This window comes from Homo sapiens, chromosome 2, assembly GCF_000001405.40.
Source record: "Homo sapiens chromosome 2, GRCh38.p14 Primary Assembly".
NCBI lineage: Eukaryota > Metazoa > Chordata > Mammalia > Primates > Hominidae > Homo > Homo sapiens.
The window spans coordinates 3,307,892-3,331,063 of NC_000002.12; the positions used below are offsets into that span (position 1 = coordinate 3,307,892).

The 23,172-nt window shown below is 52.1% G+C and overlaps 1 protein-coding gene across 5 annotated transcripts in view, besides 3 other annotated features; it reads right to left on the reverse strand.

The window, feature by feature from the left end:
• Window positions 1-23,172, reverse strand: part of EIPR1 (EARP complex and GARP complex interacting protein 1) — a 188,849-nt gene that overhangs the window by 118,922 nt on the left and 46,755 nt on the right. The gene's annotated exons all lie outside the window — the stretch shown is intronic.
• Window positions 11,589-12,200: an enhancer, noted in NCBI's record as "H3K27ac-H3K4me1 hESC enhancer chr2:3323251-3323862 (GRCh37/hg19 assembly coordinates)". NCBI's record gives its function as "activates a minimal SCP1, AML or CMV promoter by ChIP-STARR-seq in naive H9 embryonic stem cells {active_cell/tissue: H9 hESC(naive)}" and the evidence as "EXISTENCE:reporter gene assay evidence [ECO:0000049][PMID:30033119]".
• Window positions 14,945-15,472: an enhancer, noted in NCBI's record as "H3K4me1 hESC enhancer chr2:3326607-3327134 (GRCh37/hg19 assembly coordinates)". NCBI's record gives its function as "activates a minimal SCP1, AML or CMV promoter by ChIP-STARR-seq in primed H9 embryonic stem cells {active_cell/tissue: H9 hESC(primed)}" and the evidence as "EXISTENCE:reporter gene assay evidence [ECO:0000049][PMID:30033119]".
• Window positions 15,473-16,000: an enhancer, noted in NCBI's record as "H3K4me1 hESC enhancer chr2:3327135-3327662 (GRCh37/hg19 assembly coordinates)". NCBI's record gives its function as "activates a minimal SCP1, AML or CMV promoter by ChIP-STARR-seq in primed H9 embryonic stem cells {active_cell/tissue: H9 hESC(primed)}" and the evidence as "EXISTENCE:reporter gene assay evidence [ECO:0000049][PMID:30033119]".

Consider the following 23,172-nt stretch of genomic DNA (forward strand, 5'->3'; position numbering starts at 1 on the left):
ATGATCCTATTTGATCATGACCCATTGTATACATGTATCAAAATATCACATGTACCTCCAAAATATGTACCTCTATGCTATATCAATTAAAAAAAGAACAGGCCTGGGAATGCTCTCGGCGTCTCCCACACACAACAGAGCCACACCAGCCCCAGGAAGAACATTCCAGCGCTGGCCGACGCTGTCGGCCGTGTGTGGCCACGGAGGCCTCAGAGAATGAGGCCCACTTGCACAGACTGTGGGGCTCTGACAGCTGCCACTGGAAACACAGCCCGTGGAAGAAGGCCAGGACCCAGTCCCCAAACCTAAACAGGGTGACTGAAATATGACCCAGAGTTTCCCATGAACCAGGAAATCAAAATTTGAATGAGAAAAGACAGTCAATGGACAGGATGATCTTAAAGCAGCCGCCATAAAGATGCTTCCATGAGGGACTCTTCTCTTGAAACAAATAAAGGGAAAAACTCAGAAAATTTCAACAAAGAGATGAAAGATATAAAAAAGAACCAAATGGATGAGTTCAATAGCAGCACAATAAATATGGCAGAGAAAACATTTAAAGACAGAACAACAGGAAATGTCCAATTTGAACACCAGACCAGAGAGAAAATAGACGGAAAAAAAAATGAACAGCCTCAGGAATGCGGGACAATAGCAGATGGCCTCAGTCTCCAGAGAGGAGAAAGTGAGGTTGAAAAGCATTTGTGGGAATAATGGACAGAGAGTCCTCGAATTTGGTGAAGGACGTTGCCTACAGATTCAAGAGCCTGAGAAAATCTCAAGTAGCATACACCCCAAGAAAGCTATTCCAAGACATGGCACGATTAGACTTCTGAAAACTAAAGACAAGAACGAAAATTGAAAGCAGCCTCTGCTCTTCATTCAAACTGGATCACCAAGTTCTCACCCGAAACCAGAGACCAGAACAAAGCAGAACAATATTTTTCAAATATTTCCATTTTTCAAAGAATTGTCAACCTTGAAGTTTATATTCACTGCAAGTATCCTTAGGAATGAAAGGGAAATAAAGATATTTTCAAAAGGAGGAAAACTAAGGAAGTTTGCCACAAGCAGACCTACCCTCAAAGGATGGATAAAGAAAATTTTTCAAACGGAAAGAAATTATAATGAAAAAAGGCTTAGAACTTCTGAAAGAAAAGAACAACGAATGGGCAAAAACCAGTAAATACAGTAGACATCTTTCTCCTCGTGAGCTTCTTAAACCATATTTGATGGTTGGCGAAAAAATTACACCACCACATCTGATGGTCAATGTACAGAGAGAAAACACTTAAGACAATTATATTCTTAAAGTGGGAGGGCAGAGATGGCCTCGATGGAAGTGGGGCTCCTCTATTCCTCTCGAGGTAGGAAAATGCCAATAACTGTGGGTTTGGTAAGTGACATACGTATATTGTAATATCTAGAGCAAGCATCAAAGCACCTCTACAGAGTTGTATATTCAAAAACACTGTAACTAAATCAAAATGGAGTATTAAAAAACGTTCACATAACTCAGGAAGGTGAAAGAGAAACAGAACGATGAGAAACAAAGAGAACAGAAAACAAATAACAACATGGCGGAGTTAAGCCCTAAGAGATCAATAATTTAGAGGTCAGTAGTCTCAGTATACCAATGACAAGACAGAGATTGGCAGAGGGAATAAACACACGCACATAAACACACAACCCAGCTCCATACGGCCTATGCAGTCTACAAAAAATCCCACCTCCCAAAACCCAGAGCATCCCGGGAAAGGAAAAACAGTGGGCGAGGGAGGTGGGAGTGGAGGGCATGAAAATGGCCGGCGCTCGACCAGGACCAGGGTCACTGACTTGAGACCCCAAAACGACAGATGCTTCCCGATGGGAGTGAAGGTTGAAGAGACCGGTCCACACCTCCTTCTGTTCTAACACCCCCCTTACTACCTGTTCAAAGGAGGTAATCATGTGGGAGAGAGGCAGCAGAGCTGGGGGTTAGGAAAGAGACGGTGGTGTGGGTAGGATTCTCCCTGCAGGCTCTGGCAGCGCCCCTGTGTACGCACAGGTGTGCAGGCTCTGGCAGTGCCCGTGTACGCACAGGGCAGGGACGCTCCCTGCGCTGCTCCAAACTGGAATATTCGCGTCTCCCCACTGCAGACACCAGAACACAGCCACTACCCCACACAAGCAAGAACAGCCCCTGAGGTTATGTGCCCACGGCAAGGTCACCACACTCTGTTAGAGAAAAAGGAGCTGGAAAGTTGTTTATATATTAGGAGTGCATGCTTGGTTCAGCGCCAAGGTCAGAAAACAATGTTTCCACAGTCACCCAAGATTGACTACAGCAAATAGCTATCCGTTCTGAAGACGACAAATGGTTTCCAAACAACAGGAAATAGATACTAAGGGTATTATAAAAATCTTCCTTTTTAATATTTTTCTTAGGGAGAGAAGAAATACCAGTAAGTTCTCAAAGGCTTTTAAAAGTCTTGATAATTGGCCGGGCGCGGTGGCTCACGCCTGTAATCCCAGCACTTTGGGAGGCCGAGGTGGGCGGATCACAAGGTCAGGAGACTGAGACCATCCTGGCTAAAACGGTGAAACCCCGTCTCTACTAAAAATACAAAAAATTAGCCGGGCGTAGTGGCGGGCGCCTGTAGTCCCAGCTACTTGGGAGGCTGAGGCAGGAGAATGGCGTGAACCCGGGAGGCGGAGCTTGCAGTGAGCCGAGATCCCGCCACTGCACTCCAGCCTGGGCGACAGAGCCAGACTCCGTCTCAAAAAAAAAAAAAAAAAAAAAAAGTCTTGATAATTTAAAACTAAAAACTTATCTAAACTTTGTAGTAAGACTGCCTTATATTTATATTTAACGCAAGAATCTTCAGGGTACAGTTGTACTTGTGTATGCTATGTCTCAATGGTATACAAATATTTAAAATTATTTTATATACTAAACTTTGTTACACTGATAAATATTTTATGATTCCCCCAAATCAATCAATTTTTTTTTCAAATAAACAAATTAGCCCAGTTTCCCATATGTTAGGGGAAATAATTGCTGGGTAAAAAATAAATTTTTCTTGAAACTTGATTCTGAAATTTTACGTACAAGACCCCGAGCAAACCAATGTCTCTGAACTTCCTATTTTCTTGTTTACAAAAATGGAGCATATGAAGATGCCCACTCTCAGACGATTACCAGAAATATCACATTGCAATAGCTTGAAGAGTGCTTTGAAAACTGGCAAGCAAAGACAAGGTTACTACTTACTTAGGCCTAGTATGTGCACAGGTAGAACGGTCTCTATCAACACAAGTGCCTCCACCTTCTAAGCTTTACTATTTGATAGACCAGAAAAAGCCCACAGAATTTTCTTCTCCTTGGTCCTGTTACACACTCTCAAGATGATCTCTTCCTAGAAATATGTGATTTTCAAATATACAATAATTAGTAGTTTTGTATCTTTTGAGATTCCAGAAATGATTTCTTTTCACATTAAAAAAAAATATTTTTAGAAAGTAATTCTGCATGATTTTTATGGGGGTGAGGGGGCAGCTACAAGCAAGTCCCATAAGGTCAAGGACTTGCTTTTTTCACACTTAGAACATATAGAAGGCAGTGGCATATTTTAAATCTGAGAACATGTGGCATTCTCTTACAACAGTTTCTTTTTCTTCTATTCATTTAGTTCAAAAAATGTTGAGGCTTAAGACAGGCCAGACATTCTCCCTACTAACTCCTGTCTCACCCACCATCCCTCGTTCAGAATCAGGAGGGCATGAGGTGGTGTCTGCAGAGTACAGGGCTAGGGGTCCAGTCACAGGGCGCCAGGGGCCTCCAGTCACGAGGTGTGGGCGGCAGCTCCAGTCCCAGGGTGCAGGGGGCTCCACTCGCAGGATGCTGTGGTGGGGGGCTCCATTCGCGGGGTGCTGGGCGGGGGGGCTCTACTCTGGGGCACCAGAGGTGGGAGGGGAGCTCCAGTCACCTGGGGCATGAAGCTCCAGTCTTGGGGCACTGGGGTCCCTGTGCAGTGTCGGGGTTGTCCCCAGCCTCTGCTGAATCCTGCGGGAACCTGGACCTGGCCTTCTTTGGAACAGCGCACAGAACCACATAAGGACCTGGCGGTCACTCTCGTGCTGACATACAAATGACACCCTCCACCCTATAGCTTTCATTGACCCAAGATAACTGTGTGTTGGAGCCACAACACACAGTTATCCCCTCTGTCTGATAACTGAAGTGCCTGAAGATGAGTCTCGGGACGCTCCCAAATTTCCTCAAGTTGCCCCCCGAATCTGTCCATCACTCTGCACATGGAGTGACCTGCAGCCACATCAGTCCCCATCTGTCTGCTCTGCCTATGGCCACTGAGGCCGCATTCCGGGTGTGCTCTGACGTTTTACCCGCCATCCCACTGACCACAGCTTGGTCAACGGAGGCTAAGGTTGCACTGCTTTTTAGGCGGCTGTGGCATAAAATTGAGTTTCCTGGCAAAGACAGTCCCTGGAAGGTTCTGTGTGCCTGCTGTGGGGATGAGACTCACGTCTGAGGGGCAAAGTTCATTTTTCAGACCCCATGATGGGACTTCTCTCACTGCCTCCAAAATACACCCTGTCCAATATTCCATCTCCAGGTTCCCATGGTCCTCCCAAGGCTCCCTCCCACCACTCAGCACCTGCTCATCATTGTCAGCATGTTTCTGGTCTCTTAAAATTGAAGTTTTATCCCTAGCTTTGCAGGTAAAGCTTTGCAGGGAGAAGGACCCACGATGCCACTGCCTCTGTGCTCAGGGGATAACGGCGGGGTGGGGAAGAGCCTCCACTGGTCCCTTCAACGAGATCTTTGGTGCCCCAGGCTTGAGAAGGTTCTTGATGGTTACGTTGCTTTGTCTGCCTCTGCTGGTCTGTGACATGAGCACGTCATGGCCTGACCACCGCTGTGGGCCTCATTCTGGAATGGATGCTACCTAACAAAGCCTCATATGGAGGTACACCCACTGATAAGGGTCACCAGATTGAGAAATAAAAACTTGGCACAGGACTGACTGACACTGAAAACTACTCCTTATTTACCTGAAATTCAAGTTTAACAGGATATCCTGTGTTTTATCTGACAACCCTACTTCCGATGCACACTTCGCACCTCAGCTTCAACACAAATCTACAAGAAAGGTACAGGACGTATATTACCTATCAGCCTCAAGGAGACCCAGTGACCCAATGAGGCTGGGTGACTGCCTCCAACTCAGAGTCCACAGTGCCAAAGCTGCGATGAGGGCTGCACTTCTTCCCACTGGGGGCCAGACAGCCACCCACCCCTTAGACACAAAGTCTCATGTGAGGTGAAAGGGGTGCTGAGAGGGTTAAAGGCAGTGAGGACCCAATTGGATATCACCTGATCCCTGGGAGAGGACATGGATTCTGAGAGGCAGAGACCTGGAGGAAGAAGATCGAAGGCTGAGAGAGCAGCACAAAATGCCGCCTGAGAGTTAAAAAAGTGGGTGGGGGGGTTCAAGGCGCACAGACCTGAGCACTGTGGACAGGCATGGCAGGAGACGAGGTCAAAAGGTGGCTTGGGGCCAGCTCACAGTAGGACACAGAGCCCAGTCCTCCAGGTGAATGGGCACTGAACACTCGCTGGACTCCCACAAGTATTATTCCCATTTATGTGGACATAAACGGGCTTCGAGAAGGTCCACAAATTGCTGAAGGCCTCAGGGGTAATAAATGCTGGGACCAGGGTGAAAATCCCCATCTGCCTAAATTTATAGCCATTTTCAGCTCTCCCCACTGTCAGGAGCATAGTAAGGAGCCTGGGCTTTATCGCCCTAGCTTCTGAGATGCACAGTAAGTGTTTGGATCTGGGTTTCAGAAAAGTCACTGTAGGAGTCAAACTGTCTTTGTTCCCATGAGAAACTCAAGGCCCAAGCTGGGGCCTGGGCAGAAATGAAGGAAAAAACAGGATTCGGATCAGGGAGGGCGAGGAAGGCAGAGGCAAGAGGGCTCATTATGTGCATCTGACCCTCACCCCCCGGTCTTCATTAGCAGCGGGTCACAGCAGCAGCCGGGGCTGTCCCCGAGCTGCGGGCCTGGGTCAATGGCCCTGAGCCGCTGGGACCCGGGGAGGGTGGCACTAGCTGACCCAGCCCCCCTCTCACGCTAGCTCCCCGGAGAGCACCACCCGGGGAGCAACATCGGCGGATGCAGAGCACACACGCTGGCCATATGTCATTGGGGCGCCGCGCTGGCAGCTTTTCATGGCTCTAATTTCCCGAGGACTCTGCGCCAGCGTGATCTACAGTCTTCCTGACATTTCACCTTCCTCTGCTGAAAAATTCATCCCAGTTCTAACGTGGGACGCTCGTTCCCAAGTACAGAGGCAGGAGATTGATTCCGGCTGCCGCTAATGCCAGCTGCCACTCAGCCCCCTTTCCTGAGGCCAGGGCTTGCTCGAGCTAAGCCAGTTCCCAATTATACAGCAGGCTTCACAGTCCTAATTTATCAATCTTTGCCACATCATTTTACATTTATTCTCCATCATGGGTGGACATTTATTATTTTTAAGGCTATACTCTCTTTTTTGGTCTTCCTGAAATTTCACCAGTATGTTGAGGATTTTCATATTTTCACTGTACTTGGCTTTTCTTCGTAAAGACTATCTTTCCAAGACCACAGGGTGACAAGCATTTCTGTGACAGGCAGAAGAGGAGCAGGAGCTGGGCTCAGGGCCCTCGGTGGTCTCACTCACCGGCCAGCCTGTTGCCGTCCCTCTCTTGTGTCCCCTCCCAATCCCCCTGGGACCTTCTGAAGGACACACCTGATCCTGGGACTCCTCTGGTTCTAGGCTCCGATGCCCCTCTGACTGCCTGCAGAAAGCTCTCTCCCCCAGCCTCCAGCTAGCCTCTCCCCAGGACCTGCCTCAGCCGCACTGGACCAACAAGCTGCATGCACCTGCGGATGCTCTCACCTAGGCCTGAGTTGTGCCCCACGGGCTCTGCCTGGTGACCTGCCGCTCACTCTCAGGACCAGCAACAAGAGTGCTGGTCACCCTGAGGCCTCCCTGGCAAGGCCCTGCCCTGGCGGTGTCCACACAGCATCTTCTGCTGCTGCTCTCCGGCAAACTGCATCCCCTCGTGCTGCACTTACTCACATGTCCCCACCATCACCCGCCACCCGCCCCCAACACCTGTACCCCACCACAGTCATCACCACCGCCATCCATATCACTGTCTTCACCACCTCCGTCCACACCACCATCATCATCACTAGCATCGCCCCCATGCCTACCATCATCACCACCCCCTACCACCACCATCACCACCATCCCCATCCACACCCCCTACCACCACCATCACCACCATCCCCATACACACCCCCTACCACCACCATCACCACCATCCCCATACACACCCCCTACCACCATCCTCACCACCATCCCCATACACACCCCCTACCACCACCATCACCACCATCCCCATCCACACCCCCTACCACCACCATCACCACCATCCCCATCCACACCCCCTACCACCACCATCACCACCATCCCCATCCACACCCCCTACCACCACCATCACCACCATCCCCATCCACAGCCCCTACCACCACCATCACCACCATCCCCATCCACACCCCCTACCACCACCATCACCACCATCCCCATCCACACCCCCTACCACCACCATCACCACCATCCCCATCCACACCCCCTACCACCACCATCACCACCATCCCCATCCACAGCCCCTACCACCACCATCACCACCATCCCCCATCCACACCCCCTACCACCACCATCACCACCATCCCCATCCACACCCCCTACCACCACCATCACCACCATCCCCATCCACACCCCCTACCACCACCATCACCACCATCCCCATACACACCCCCTACCACCATCACCACCATCCCCATACACACCCCCTACCACCATCCTCACCACCATCCCCATACACACCCCCTACCACCACCATCACCACCATCCCCATCCACACCCCCTACCACCACCATCACCACCATCCCCATCCACACCCCCTACCACCACCATCACCACCATCCCCATCCACACCCCCTACCACCACCATCACCACCATCCCCATCCACAGCCCCTACCACCACCATCACCACCATCCCCATCCACACCCCCTACCACCACCATCACCACCATCCCCATACACACCCCCACCACCATCCTCACCACCATCCCCATACACACCCCCACCACCATCCTCACCACCATCCCCATACACACCCCCACCACCATCACCACCACCATCATCACCACCCCCACACCCACTCCCACCATCACCATCCCAGTCCCTACCCCCATTCCACCACTGTTATCGCCACCACCATTATCATCATCACCACCATCCCCACTCCCACCCCCTCCACCACACCCAGGACCCCTCTACCCTCATGCTTTTATCTTGGAGTCTGCAGCACCTGCCCAGAGGAACAATCTCCTCACCATCTGTTTACCATGTTTTTGCAAAGCCACTGTGGCACACCAGCTTGGCTTAAGTACTTATCTATTTATTTATTTATTTAATGCCTGAAATAGACCTTGATTAGGTACATTTAAGTCCCATACTTCTACACAAACTTCCTATGAGGCAATCCACAGGCAGCCATTATACCTGATGTTGCAAATTCATTACTATTTGGACAGAATCCTGCCTCTCTCCCAACTCACAGGCCACACTCACACGTTCTATGAGACCCATTCCTCAAGTTCCTGCTTTTCAACTTTCACCCAGTTTTTCTGTCTTCACGTTGACTTTTCACAATGAAGCTGTGTAATTACTACTTTTTTCCCCAAAGGGTTGCTGTACAGATAACTTCAAGTAACAAACCACAAAGTTGGCTGCAGAACAGACGCTAGCCAGGCCACCAGGCTCCTTGGCCTCACAGCCCCCTGACCTGGTCCACACCTTCCCCAGCCACGCCAACCTCTTGCCATAGTCTAGACACAGTCCCAACAGTGAGAGACTCAAAATGCCTCAGGAAAACAGACCATGTGCTGTCAGGTACCACCAAGAGTCAGACGCACAGAAATAGTGCATGTGTGAGCTGAGGATTCTGTGCCTTGCACATGGGGTGGAGCATGGAGACCCAGGAGCACATGAAGCACTGACCAAGCTGAGGGCCTACAGTGTACCTTGCACATGGGGTGGAGCACAGAGCCCCAGGAGCGCATGACGCACTGACCGAGCTGAGGGCCTACTGTGTGCCTTGCATGTGGGGTGGAGCACAGAGCCCCAGGAGCGCATGAGGCACTGACCAAGCTGAGGGCCTACTGTGTGCCTTGCACATGGGGTGGAGCACAGAGACCCAGGAGCACATGAGGCACTGACCAAGCTGAGGACCTACTGTGCGCCTTGCATGCCGGGTAGAGAACAGAGCCCCAGGAGCGCACGAGGTGCTGACCGAGCTGAGGGCCTACTGTGTGCCTCGCACGCGGGGTGGAGCATGGAGCCCCAGGAGCGCACAAGGTGCTGACCGAGCTGAGGGCCTACTGTGTGCCTCGCACGCAGGGTGGAGCACGGAGCCCTGGGAGCGCATGAGGCACTGACCGAGCTGAGGGCCTACTGTGTGCCTCACATGCGGGGTGGAGCACGGAGTGCCGGGAGCGCATGAGGCGCTGACAGGCAGGTGACCTCGCAGCAGCTGTGAGGGTCGAGTCTAGATAGAGGCCCCTCCCACCTTACTTAAATAAACACACTGAAGACTCCAAGCTATATGGACTGAATCCACCCCCAATTCCCCCGCCTAATTCATACACTGAAGCCCTAGACCCAGTGTGACTGTACTGGAGACAGAGCCTCTAAGGAGGTAACTAAGGTTAGAGGAGGTCATCAGGTGGGTCCTGGGTCCCTATGAGAAGAGAAAGAGACGTGGGGTTTGCACGTGCACAGAGGAGAGGCCACATGATGCCACGGTGAGAAGGGACCGATGGCAGGCCCAGAGCATAGCCTCAGGAGGACCAGCCCTGCCATGCCTGACCCTGAAGCTCCAGCCTCCAGACCCGGGAGGAAATTAACTTCTGTTGCCTGGGCCACCCAGTTCACAGTGTTCTGCTTCAGCCGTCCAGGCTGCCCGAGACACGGGCTCAGCACCTGCCTAACGGGATGCACAGCACTTCGGACGGGGCATCATCTCAAGGTCACACCTGCTTCCTGCTGGGTCCCAGGCGCACAGCCGTGGCTCCTAACGGCTCCTCTCTGCACCTCCAAGTGGAACCGCTGCCATGTCGAAACGGCTGTGGGCCAAGGGCAGGGCGCAGACCAGCAGGCCGCAGAAGAGCGCAGCACACCACACATGTGGGGTTGAGGGAGAAGCTGGCCCCGGTTCTTTACAGTCTTACTGGAAAAATTAATTCAAATTGGGCTTTGTCTAAGCACCCCCTCGTGGGCTGAAACCTGGAGGAAGGGCCATAAACAAAGCACCCGGCAAATGATAGAGCAGGACGCCGTGAGGAGCCGTCGTGGGCTGCTCCAGGGACCAAGTCTTATTTCACATCTTCATTAGTGATCTGGAAGGAGCCATAAACAGCACATTAATTCCACTGCCAGATGACACTGAATTTGGAGGTGCTACAGAAAGTCAATGAGGACAGAGAGATGATACAAACGGGATCTGAAGAGTCAGTGAGGAACGCAAGAAACAACACAGGAGTCGGCCTCGAAAAAATGGCCCACTATTCCAGAGCCATGCCTCATTTCCATAACACAACTAAACAAAAAACACAGGTGCTCCCTACTGTCTGAAGCCCCTTGCTATTCACGTCCTTCATATCCAGAACCAGGACTCTCATTCTGCAATGCTCAGCTCTGTCCCGGCAATCAGAGTTCTCCTCACACACCGTTCCAAACTCTGAAGCCAAAATACATCTGGTGACGTGCTACTCCTCGATCGCCACACATGCACCCCAAACTCAGGAGGGGTGCTTGTTTACATAAACACCTTTGAGCTCACCTGCGACCTGTCCCCTGAAGAAGACCTGGTGCAACGTGTTTACAAAGACAATCGTGGGACTCTGAGCTACAGGAAGAATGCCAAACGATTCTATGATGTCTCCTAAAAAGACAAGAAGGAATTCAGATACTTGGAACTTACCCCAGCAACAAAATAGTTGGGTCCATAACATCTAATTTTACTTCTAAAGACAGAAAGGAGAAAAGTGTTTAAGATATTTAATCTCATTGGCTTCTAAACTCCAGTGCTTGAGCGTCATTACAAATGTCACTCTGAGACAATAGTTACATCTCCATCCTGCGTGACAAAAACCAGCAAGAAGAAAACATGTTTATACAACAAGGCGTATTTACAAAATCTGTGCCTCAGAAGCAGCATCCTTGAAGCCTTGTAGCTGTAGGTCAGGTGCTCTGGAAGTGCGCTGTGTGCTCCTAATTAGCGCTGCTGGCCCGGCAGGTCATTGCAACAACTCCCTCAGGGGAAAAGGCCAATGGCACAGAGGACTCAACTTGATCATTCCCAGAAAGCGCCGATCCCCGTGCCTGGCACATGAGCACTCGATGGGAGCTGTCATTGTCATCATCTTCACGGTCATCTTCGTTATCCCGTTACCTCATGTATAAAATAAGGATGATGAAAATGATGGAAGCCAAAAACCGTACATGACCTGCCCAAGGACCCACCACGAGTAGTGGAGTTGGGGCCCAAGCTCCAGTCTTCTGAGGTTTCCTTATCACTCTCCATGCCCAAGTACCGGCTACAGTCGAGGCTGTTCTGTCCACCACGCCCGGTGTGCTCTTCCTCCCTCCAGCAAACAACACTGCACCTGCGGGCAACACCACCCCTGCAGGCAACACCACCCCTGCAGGCAGAGCAATACCACACCTGCGGGCAACACCGCACCTGCAGGCAGGGCAATACTGCACCTGCGGGCAACACCACCCCTGCGGGCAACACCGCACCTGCAGGCAGGGCAATACTGCACCTGTGGGCAACACCACCCCTGCGGGCAACACCACCCCTGTGGACAACACCGCACCTGTGGACAACACCGCACCTGTGGGCAGGGCAATACTGCACCTGCGGGCAACACCACCCCTGCGGGCAACACCACCCCTGAGGCAGAGCAATACCACACCTGCGGGCAACACCACCCCTGAGGCAGAGCAATACTGCACCTGCGGGCAACACCACCCCTGCAGGCAGAGCAATATCACACCTGCGGGCAACACCGCACCTGCAGGCAGGGCAACACCGCCCCTGGGGGCAACACCACCCCTGCGGGCAACACCACCCCTGCAGGCAACACCGCACCTATGGGTGACCCGCACCTGCAGGCAGGGCAACACCATACCTGGGGATAACACACCTGCAGCCAACACCACACCTGCAGGCAGGGCAACACCACACCTGCAGACAACACTATACCTGCGGATGACACCACACCTGCGGGCAGGACAACACCGCACCTGCAGACAGCACGACACCTGTGGGCAACACCGCACCTGCGGGCAGGAAAACACCACACCTGCGGACAACACTGCACCTGTGTGCTCCAGGTCCTGCATACAAAGTCCCAGAGGCAGCCCCCAGCAACTCTGCTTCCTCTTCTTGCACTAAGGTGGGAGGGCACAGACGCTCTCTTTGCTAGGCTATGTTAACATTTATCACTAACAAATGAACTATTTATTAGACCAGGCAGCAATGAAACTCACAGTTTATGGTAAATAAGACTTAGCAACCCACACCCTAAAGGAAGTATCATTGAACTGAAATAATAACTTGTTCCCTGAAATCACAACAAACAGAACTCAGGTGAATTGATATTTCATGCTGTTTTCCTCTCTCTCACCAAAGTGACCCCAGTGAACTATTTCCATAGGAATCCCAAAAGAAAAAGGACCAAAAGAAACCCTTTCTGTTGTTAATTCAGCAGATACACTCAACTTCAGACCTGTCTGGGCTTATGCCTCCAAAGCAAAACCCTCTTCAGCTGACAATTTGGTTAGTGCACGGCTATTCCAGAGAAGATAGGTCACCTGACTCTGTTTTTGTTAGTCTTAAAAAAAATTAGAGCCCCAAAAATAAGCTTAAAATAAAATGCAAAATGTTTTCATTTCAAAACATATTTTACTTGAGATGGTGTGAAAATTAAAGACGGGCTGGCACTGTCAAGGTGTTTTTATCTAACATATCTGAACAGGGCAGGAGGCTCCACCTGAAGCATGCTGCTGAGGGGAACGACACCACGCAGCCTCCCGGCCCAGGGAGAGCTCTCGGGAATGTGCTCCAAACGACAGCTCCCTGGAGATCATGTCTTGATTTCTTTCTCTTTTCAAGGTGCTATTTCTTGGCACCAGCATCATGAGAAAATTTAACTCTCACCTTTCCCAGCTGAGCACCTATACCCTGAAAAAAGGAAAGGAGTCAATCTTTTAACATCTGCACAGAAAATGGGAAGGAAACTTTAACCGGAGACACACAAGCCGGCATGCTTGAGAAATGTATCAGCATCTTGAGTGCAGCAGAGCGTCCTCTGCCCCCGCCGCCCCGTCTTTAAGCAGGCACTTGACGATGAGGCTGATGGATTCCAACTTTTCTCCCCACCTCTCACGTACTCCATTCTTTCAAAGGGCTCTCGGTCATTTTCTCTCAGAATTCTGGTTTCACAAAGAGGAGACTAAGAATACTATTTTCCAGCGAAAACCCACTTCTTCTCTCAGCTTATTTTCACAATGCAAAGTAACCACTCAAAAATGCAACTTTCTTCTCATTTGGTGCAGAGATCAAGGGGAAAATGCATCTTTAAACAAGAACCATTGTATCTTGACTTTCTTGTTAATCTGTAGAGGAGGATACAGTTTTCACTATGAGCAGAGAGCCTCCAGACCTCGAAGCTAAAAGAAATCTCAGGAACCCTCTAGTTCAGCACCTTCTTTCTACAGCTTAAAAAGCACGTCCTGGACCAGGCGGGCACATCAGACATCACTCCCAGTGAACAGAAGGCACAGACGCTGCCTCATCCACGGACTCCTCAGCAGTGGAAATCTCCACAAAGGCCACGCTGCCCACAGCCACGCATGAGCTCAAATGATACAGGCTGCTCTTCACAATGAAGGATTCCAAAAGCCAATTCTCGACAGCATCTTATCCGAGGGATCGGTGGTGAATTCCACCCTCACTTCACGGGAAGATGTCCAAAGACCTGGGCCCAGGGCATATTCCACTGTCGGATCAGGAGCCAGAGTGGGATTCTGAAATCCGCTCTTCCCAGCGAGGTCAGCACGGTCCTCCCCTGGCAGGGCCTCCGTGGTGCCTTGGCTTTAGGGCTGACGGTCACGGTGAGGTGATGGTCACGGTGAGGACCCTAAAGCAGCGTTGAAACTGCACTAGCTGACCAGGACACACTGGCTGTGTCGCTCATGTCTGCCCCATTAGATGGTGGGTGCCTGGAGTTTGGGACTGAGTCTTCTCATCTCTCTGTCCTGAGTACTTACTGTTTTGTCTCGATCACAACAAAAGCTCAAAAAATGTTTTCAAAAAGGCAAATGACAATGAATGTCTAGAGCAGGAAATAGAAAAGGGTCTTAGCCGTAACCACGGTTAAGTTTCCTTTCTTGCAGATGACAAAAATGGAACCTACAAAGTTCAGGTGTCAGAGATTACAGGACTGATTTTTGGCAAAATCACGGCAAAACTTAAGTCTCCTAAGTTGCAATCCTGTGGTCTTCCTCATCCAGCACTGACTGTGGACGCCCTAACTTGGTGAGCAGCCTTGGGATGAATTCCATTGACAGAGTCCCTCGCACACACATCTGCCTTTGGCTGAACAGAGAGGCCACAGGGTCCGGTGAAGACAGCACAGCCTGGAGGCAGAGCTCAAAGCCGGAATCCCAAATCCGCCCTTGCACTGCGCAGGTGGCCTTGAGAAAGTCACTCACAATGCTCCAGTTCCTTCATCAGCAAAGTGGGAAGTCCCCAGGCCAGTGCTCACTAGGGAGCTTAAGGCAGGGCCCTGTCCCATCAGCACCGTCCCTCCCGCAGCTGCCGAAGCGAGTGGGTGATCTGGCTGGGATGCCTTGGCGTACGTGCGAGGTGTCCCTGTCGCCACAGCCAATATATAAGCGAAAAGCGACAAACGTTACGAAAATGCAAAAACATTAAAGTCTTCATAACCTCTGGCTCTTTCCGGAGATTCAGAAATTGGCAGATAAGCTAATCTTATATTACAGTTCCTCTCTCTGATTTTTTCTTTAAAAAAAAAAAACCTAGTCACTGAAGAGGATAATCTCTCAGGATGATAAAAATTATAAAATTTCATTCCATATTTGCAATGATTCCATATAGGCGTGTCAGAAGACCAGAAATTAAAGGTTTTAGGCTCAAGACGTGGAATCCCCGGTTAAACCAGTGGTCCCCCCAGCCAGGAACGAGGCTTCTGGCAGGGACACCAAAGGTGATGTGGGGGTGGTATCTGCCTGAAAGGTTTGGGGAACTGCCCCCAGTATCCCCGGCTTCCTACGACAAATCTGACACCATGAGGACATCCATGCCCTTCATCTGTTCATATTTTTAGTCTCCTTCACTGATGAGGGTAAAGAGTTCCTTAAGTTTCCTCCGAGCCCTGCACGCGACAAGGTCTTCATTCTGCATTTTCTCCTTGTGGCCTCGGGGCACAGGTCCACGATGGACATGGGCCCTCAGCCAACGTTCGCCGTGTTGTCAGCCTCCATGAACCAAGCCACGTGAGCAGCCTCCTCCTGAGGAGTGCCTTTAAAGTCCCTTACAGAGAATTACCATGTGAGGGAGAGTCTGGGAGCTATGGTGGCAAGACGTGAAGACACCCAGAGCAGAGTCTGGATGGGCCCAGGTTTGAATCCAGCCTCCAGGCAACCTCTATGAACCCTGTTTTCTCATCTGAAAAGCTGGGATTTCCAACAGTGTCTGCTGCTTAGTATCACGGGGCTAAATGAACCCATCTGCATAAGGAGGCAGCACAGTGCGTGGCACAGGCAGCACTGGGCCCTGCTGGCGGAGGCAGGGGTGCTCCGCTGCTGCCGTGTTGGAGTAGGCAGCAAGGGTGAGGCTGAACACTCTTGGAAGGTTCAGAGTCAAGGCCCAGACATGTAGGAAAACTGAATTCACAGCGCCAGTGTGAAAACAATGACGGGACAGAACAACGATTTAAGAAATCACATAACAAAAGCATGTTATGCACACGGCCTTCTCTGAATCCCAACAAAGTCTAAAGTAGTCAAGGCAGACGGAATTCCTCCCATCTTACAGATGAGAAGACTGAGGCTCAGAGACAGGAGCACCTCCTCCCCAGGCACTGCACGAGCGACATGTGGCACTGTGAAAGCCAGAGCAGGTCCCCAGCCCCTGGAGCGCAGGACCCACCCGAGACAGCTCACTGCCCCTGGGGACATGATTAACGGCCCCTGCAGGGACACCCACAGAGCCCATGATGAGCAGCACACGAGGCTGCACCATTCCCGGCACCCACCTGGCTTTCCCAGCTCCTCCCGGGCAGTGGCCCAGTGCTTAGACAGTGTCGCTCCGTGTGCCCACTGCTGCTCCTCAGGATGCAGGATGCTGCCCTCCAGGCTGGACTCCCAGGCCGTGGCCACATACGGGCCCTGCAGCTTCGGGCAGCTGTCTGTCCTGGGGGGATTCTCCCATGATGCTAACTCAGGCTTAGGGCAGCCCCTGGCCACCCACCCGCTCAAGGCGGCACCTTCTGAAAGCCGACCCTGCCCAGGGCACCACTTGTTTGTGAAGCATTTCGTGACCACTCGTCACTCTAATAATCAGTCTCTCAGGACGTCCTCAACTCTGGTCAGTGGGATGATGCAGTAGGCAGGAGGCCCGCTGGAAGATCCCCAGGATCCAGCCTCGTGGGCCCCGGTCACGCCGGGGGGAGTGCAGGCGGCCTGCGCGCTCAGACTTCCGAAGTGGCCGCTGCCGCGCCTCCAGCACCTCGGGGGGAGGGCCTGACCCTCACCAGGCTGGGGTCAGTGGCGCCTTGGTTTTAGGGCCTCACGCCTCACAGGAGCTGTAACAACCTGAAAAGCAGCGCTTCCAGGTTCCCACAATCTGGCAGGACCGCCACCCTCAGCAAGGCCAAAGAACGGCCTCCAGGGGTTTAGGGTCAGAGTCCTAAGTCCAGACACAACTGCCTGATCAGTTCTGTCTTTTATCATAAGCAACCCTGCCTAGTGACCTGCTAGAGCACTGCCCCTCTCTGGTTCCCAGGGAGACAGAGCTACAACTGGGCCCAAAAAGGAAAGTTGACGAGAAGGCCAAGCTCTGGGCTCCCTGCAAGGGCCGGCGGTCAGGACCACCCCAAATATCATCCTGCATCACTGAGCAGCCCCAAGAGGTGTCCCCAGCGTGGGGCCCTGTGCAGCGAGCCTGTGCAGAGCACGCCTGATGCTCACAGGTACAGTGGGAGGTGCATCTCCAGGTTGTGAGAATGGGAATTCTCCCACTGCGGAGGAGATGAGGTGAAAAGGAGGTGGGGTCTTCAGAGAGGACCAGCATCCTGTCCACTGTGGCCCTTTGGATTTGGCAAAGGAAAGTCAAGACAGTGAAGCGGTGACAGGAAGCTGGGGCGGGCCACCTTCCACTCGAGGGCCGCCCAGTGAAAGGGCCCATTTCAGCACAAAACCTTCCCTGTGCCACCCTCCCTACTCCCAACCCCCGAAAACAGAGCTTCTGTCCTTGTCTTCAGGGAGCCACACCAATGGCAGAGGAAAGAGAAAGCATATCCTACTGTGACAGCATCCTTTACACACTGCTACGTGTTTGCATAACAGGGCCTGGGGACCTTCTCTGAAGGGACCCTCCACAAGCCTCATGTTTCACTTGAGAGATTACCGCACAGTTTGCATTCTACTTTGTAACATATCTACATTCATTTCAGGCTATAAATCATGTTTTCATTACTCAAAATCAAATAGAAGTAACACTACAGAAAGACGCACCACCCTTATCCTGTGGCTTCAGGTGCCCCTGGCACCCTGCCACCCACCCCTGGAGGTGCTGTGCCCTGCTTAAGAAGCTCCCATCATGGAAGGGAAGGCTCGGTCAGTGAGCCGTGAGGGCGGATAGACTCCTGGGCTGGCCCAATGCTTCCAGTGGGCTTTGTTGCCTGTGCCAGGGGCTCCTGAGGCGGCTGCTCCCCAGTGCAGAGGAGGCTATGGCTGCAGCACTGCCCCCCTCTCCTGGGGGTAAGGGGTAAGGTGCCCTGGACTGGGCATAAGGTGTGCTCTAGATGCTCAGAGCCCACTGCTCAGGACTGTTTGCACACATCCCTGGAGTCCCGTCCTTGCAGGGTACATAGATCCAACTCTGAGACAAACCTGTTCACAGCAGCCTCATGTTTTCTCATTATTTAACAGCGGTGTTAGTCAACTGTGCCCATTTTACAGATGAACGCTCCAGAGGTTACTTGACTGGTCCGGGATTGGAGAGCCGGTAAGCAGCAGAGGGAAAAGCAGAGAGTCTAGGTTTTCCAGCCACCAAATCTGGTGCCCTCTCCACTGCCCGATACCCCTGCAAGACCGCTGCCTCCCCAGCCTCCACTGCCCTGCTCCCACCATGCCCACCTAAGGAGGTAAAAGAAAGGCTGGGAAAATACCTGGACCACTTTACATCTAGCTCCCCTTTTTAATTTTTCAGTACAACCTGACAGTGGGTCTCACTCATTCACAAACGCCTCCCTGGAGTGTGCTAAGTTCTCATGTCCAGGGTGTGACAGAAGAAGCGAGACAGAGAAAGGGGGAAGAACCCATTCCGCGTCACACACATTTCACTTCCAGGACACTGCAGTACCTAAGGATGCAGACCCAGAGGAATTTAGCTGCTCAGTTGTCATTCTCTTACGTTTCCTCCTACTGATTTATTCAGTACACCTCAGCAGCCTTGTTCCCAAGAAAAATCCACTGTATCTTCCTAAATCTCACTGAGATGATAATTTCAACATAGTTCAAATTAGTCGATTCAGTCTGTCACTATGTTCTGAGCAGCTATGATGTAGCAAAATGGCTGATCCCTCAAACGGAGTCATGTTTCAGAGGAAGATGGTGCCAGGATGAGCGGCCGAAGCTGCGTGGCCTCTGCAGGCCAGGGTGCTTGGCACAGAGGCAGGCAGCCGCGTCCAGGCCTGCCGGGGGCTTCCAGTCAGCAGGCGAGACAGGAAACAGGGAGACAAGTGCTCTGGCAGAAACGGCCACACAGGGGCCGGGAGATGGGGTGGGACCCCGGGGAGCTAGGGTAGAGCGGGGCCTTCAGGAGGCGGTGGATATGCCATAGATGTCATGTCATGTCATTTCATTTATTTTTTGAGACAGTCTCATCCTGTCGCCCAGGCTGGAGTGCAGTGGCATGATCTCAGCCTACTGCAACCGCCACCTCCCGGGGTCAAGCGATTCTCCTGCCTCAGCCTCTCGAGTAGCTGGGACTACAGGCACGCACCACCACACCCGGCTAATTTTTGTATTTTTAGTAGAGATGGGGTTTCACCATGTTGGCCAGGCTTGTCTCGAGCTCCTGACCTCAAGTGATCTGTCCGCCTTGGCCTCCCATAGTGCTGGGATAACAGGTGTGAGTCACTGCGCTGGCCCTTTTCCATTTTTAAAAAAATTTTATTGTCTATACTTAAGGTCTGCAACATGATGCTGAGATAGAGAGAAAAGGTCACTATAGTGAAGCGAATTAACATATCCATCAGCTCACACAGTTGCTCATTCTCTTTTTCTGTGGCAAGAGTAGCTACAATCCACTCATTTAGTGAAAATCCCAAATATGATAGAAGATAATCAACAACAGCCCTGCTGTAAATGAGGCCTCTGGCCTTCTCCATCCAACATACCTGCTACTTTGCATCCTCAGACCTACAGTTCCCAGTGCCCCTTCCTTAACCATGTAACCATGGTTTTATTCTCAATCTCTGTATACTCAACTCGTTTTGTTGTTAAACTCCACAGATGAACTATCCTGTATTTTTTTTTTCTTTTTGAGATAGGGTCTAACTCTGTCACCCAGGCTGGAGTGCAGTGGCACAATCACGGGTCACTGCATCTTCTCGTGTTGCCCAGACTGGTCTTGAACTCCTGGGCTCAAGCAATCTACCCACCTTGGTCTCCATTTCTAAGGGTAAAAAAGAGCTCCCGATGTGTAGACAAGAGAGGGTGGGGAGTGGGCCAGAGCCATAGAAAGGCACAAAGGCAGAGGGATGGCACCTGGGGAGCCGTGGGAAGCTCATGTGTTGGCACCGTTCCCTGGAACTCAGACCTCCAGGTCCAAACATCCGTGCTCACACCTGTCACAGCAGACTACCTCAGACGGGAAGCACATGAGTCTGCCTCACACTGAGAGATCCCTCTCTAAGGACCATTTCCACCTGGGGGGTGCCACCCCTATGGCCTGCTCATCACATGGGGTCCACCACGTTTAATGCTCTAGAGGGGTCAGCCTGGGTTCCCTGGATCAGAGCCCACCCACCACACTCTAATGATCTCAGGGTGCCAGCCAGGCTCCCCTGAATCAGAGCCCATCCACCACGCTCTAATGATCTCAGGGTGCCAGCCTGGGTTCCCCTGAATCAGAGCCCACCCACCAAGCTCTAATGATCTCGGTGCCAGCCAGGCTCCCCTGAATCAGAGCCCACCCACCACGCTCTAATGATCTCAGGGTGCCAGCCTGGGCTCCCCTGGATCAGACTCTACCCACCACGCTCTAATGATCTCAGGGTGCCAGCTGGGCTCCCCTGGATCAGAGCCCACCCACCACGCTCTAATGATCTCAGGGCACCAGCCAGGCTCCCCTGAATCAGAGCCCACCCACCACGCTCTAATGATCTCAGGGCACCAGCTGGGCTCCCCTGAATCAGAGCCCACCCACCACACTCTAATGATCTCAGGGCACCAGCCAGGCTCCCCTGAATCAGAGCCCACCCACCACGCTCTAATGATCTCAGGGCACCAGCTGGGCTCCCCTGAATCAGAGCCCACCCACCACACTCTAATGATCTCGGGGTGCCAGCCTGGGCTCCCCTGAATCAGAGCCCACCTACCACGCTCTAATGATCTCAGGGCACCAGCCAGGCTCCCCTGAATCAGAGCCCACCCACCACGTTCTAATGATCTCAGGGTGCCAGCCTGGGCTCCCTGAATCAGAGCCCACCCACCACGCTCTAATGATCTCAGGGCACCAGCCAGGCTCCCCTGAATCAGAGCCCACCCACCACGCTCTAATGATCTCAGGGCACCAGCCTGGGCTCCCCTGAATCAGAGCCCACCCACCAGGCTCTAATGATCTCAGGGCACCAGCTGGGCTCCCCTGAATCAGAGCCCACCCACCAGGCTCTAGTGATCTCAGGGCACCAGCTGGGCTCCCCTGGATCAGACTCTACCCACCACACTCTAATGATCTCAGGGCACCAGCTGGGCTCCCCTGAATCAGAGCCCACCCACCACGCTCTAATGATCTCGGGATGCCAGCCTGGGCTTCCTTGGATCAGTCCACCTACCACACTCTAATGATCTCGGGGTACTAGCCCGGACTCCCCTGGATCACAGGTCTACCCACCATGCTCTAATGATCTCGAGGTTCCAGCCAGGCTCCCCTGAATCAGAGCCCACCCGCCACACTCTAATGATCTCGGGGTGCCAGCCTGGGCTTCCTTGGATCAGTCCACCTACCACACTCTAATGATCTCAGGGTACTAGCCTGGACTCCTCTAGATCACAGATCTACCCACCATGCTCTAATAATCTCCGAGTGCCAGCCTGGCTCCCCTGAATCAGAGTTCACCTATCATGCTCTAATGATCTCAGGGCACCAGCCTGGGCTCCCCTGCATCAGGCTCTACTCGCCATGCTCTAATGATCTCAGGGTATTAGCCTGGGTTCCCCAACATCAGAGTCCACCCACCATGCTCTAATGATCTCAGGGTGCCAGCCTGGGCTCCCCCAGATGAGGGTTCCATGACCACTCTCTAATGACCTCGGGGCACCAGCCTGGGCTCCCTTGGATCAGTCCACATACCACAGTATAATGATCTCAGGGTACTAGCCTGGACTCCCCTGGATCACAGGTCTACCCACCATGCTCTAATGATCTCGAGGTGCCAGCCTGGGCTCCCCCAGATGACAGTTCCATGACCATTCTCTAATGATCTTGCGGCACCAGCCTGGGCTTCCTGGGTCAGAGGTCCTTAGATATTGACAAGGTTCCCCTCGGCGAATTCCTGAAGTTTAGGAGTGAGGAACTAAATTCCATTCTTGTTTTTCTATAGAAACCCACAAAGTGCTCTGGAGTGACCACCACTCAATACGTATAACCTCAGCTAAATGCAGGAGTTAGTTTCACTCTGCAAACATGTTTTTCAAGCAAGGTGTAAAAGTCTGTGAAAATATTTAGAGAGCAGCAAGAGAAGTGGATGAAAGTTTTCAAAATGGCTTGCACTAGTATAACAGATCAAGTTAGGACACGGTCACAAAGACACAAAAGGGGACACAATGGAAGGTCCAGAGCAAGGGGGACACAGAGCCAGACCACTGGTGCCCTCTGTTGATTGAGAGGCCACCACACAGAGTGTCGCCGAGGATGGTGTGAGCAGAGGCAGGCACACACTCATGAAACAGTGTGAGAAGAGGCAGACACACCCACCCAGGAGACAGTGTGAGCAGAGGTAGGAATGCGCACACTCACGAGACAGTGTGAGCAGAGGCAGGTATGCACTCGTGAGATGGTGTGAGTGGAGGCAGGAGCACACACTCATAAGACAGTGTGAGAAAAGGCAGGTGCACACACATGAGACAGTGTAAACGGAGGCAGGTACATGCACACTCATGAGACAGTGTGAGCAGAGGTAGGCACGTGTACACTCGTGAGATGGTGTGAGCAGAGGCAAGCGCATGTACACTCACGAGAATGGTGTGAGCAGAGACAGGCACGTGTACACTCGAGATGGTGTGAGCAGAGACAGGTGCACACACTCATGAGACGGTGTAAGCAGAGACAGGTGCACACACTCATGAGACGGTGTAAGCAGAGACTGGCAAGTGTACACTCGTGAGATGGTGTGAGCAGAGGCAAGCGCATGTACACTCACGAGATGGTGTGAGCAGACAGGTGCACACACTCATGAGGTGGTGTGAGCAGAGGCAGGCATGTGTACACTCATGAGACACATGAGCA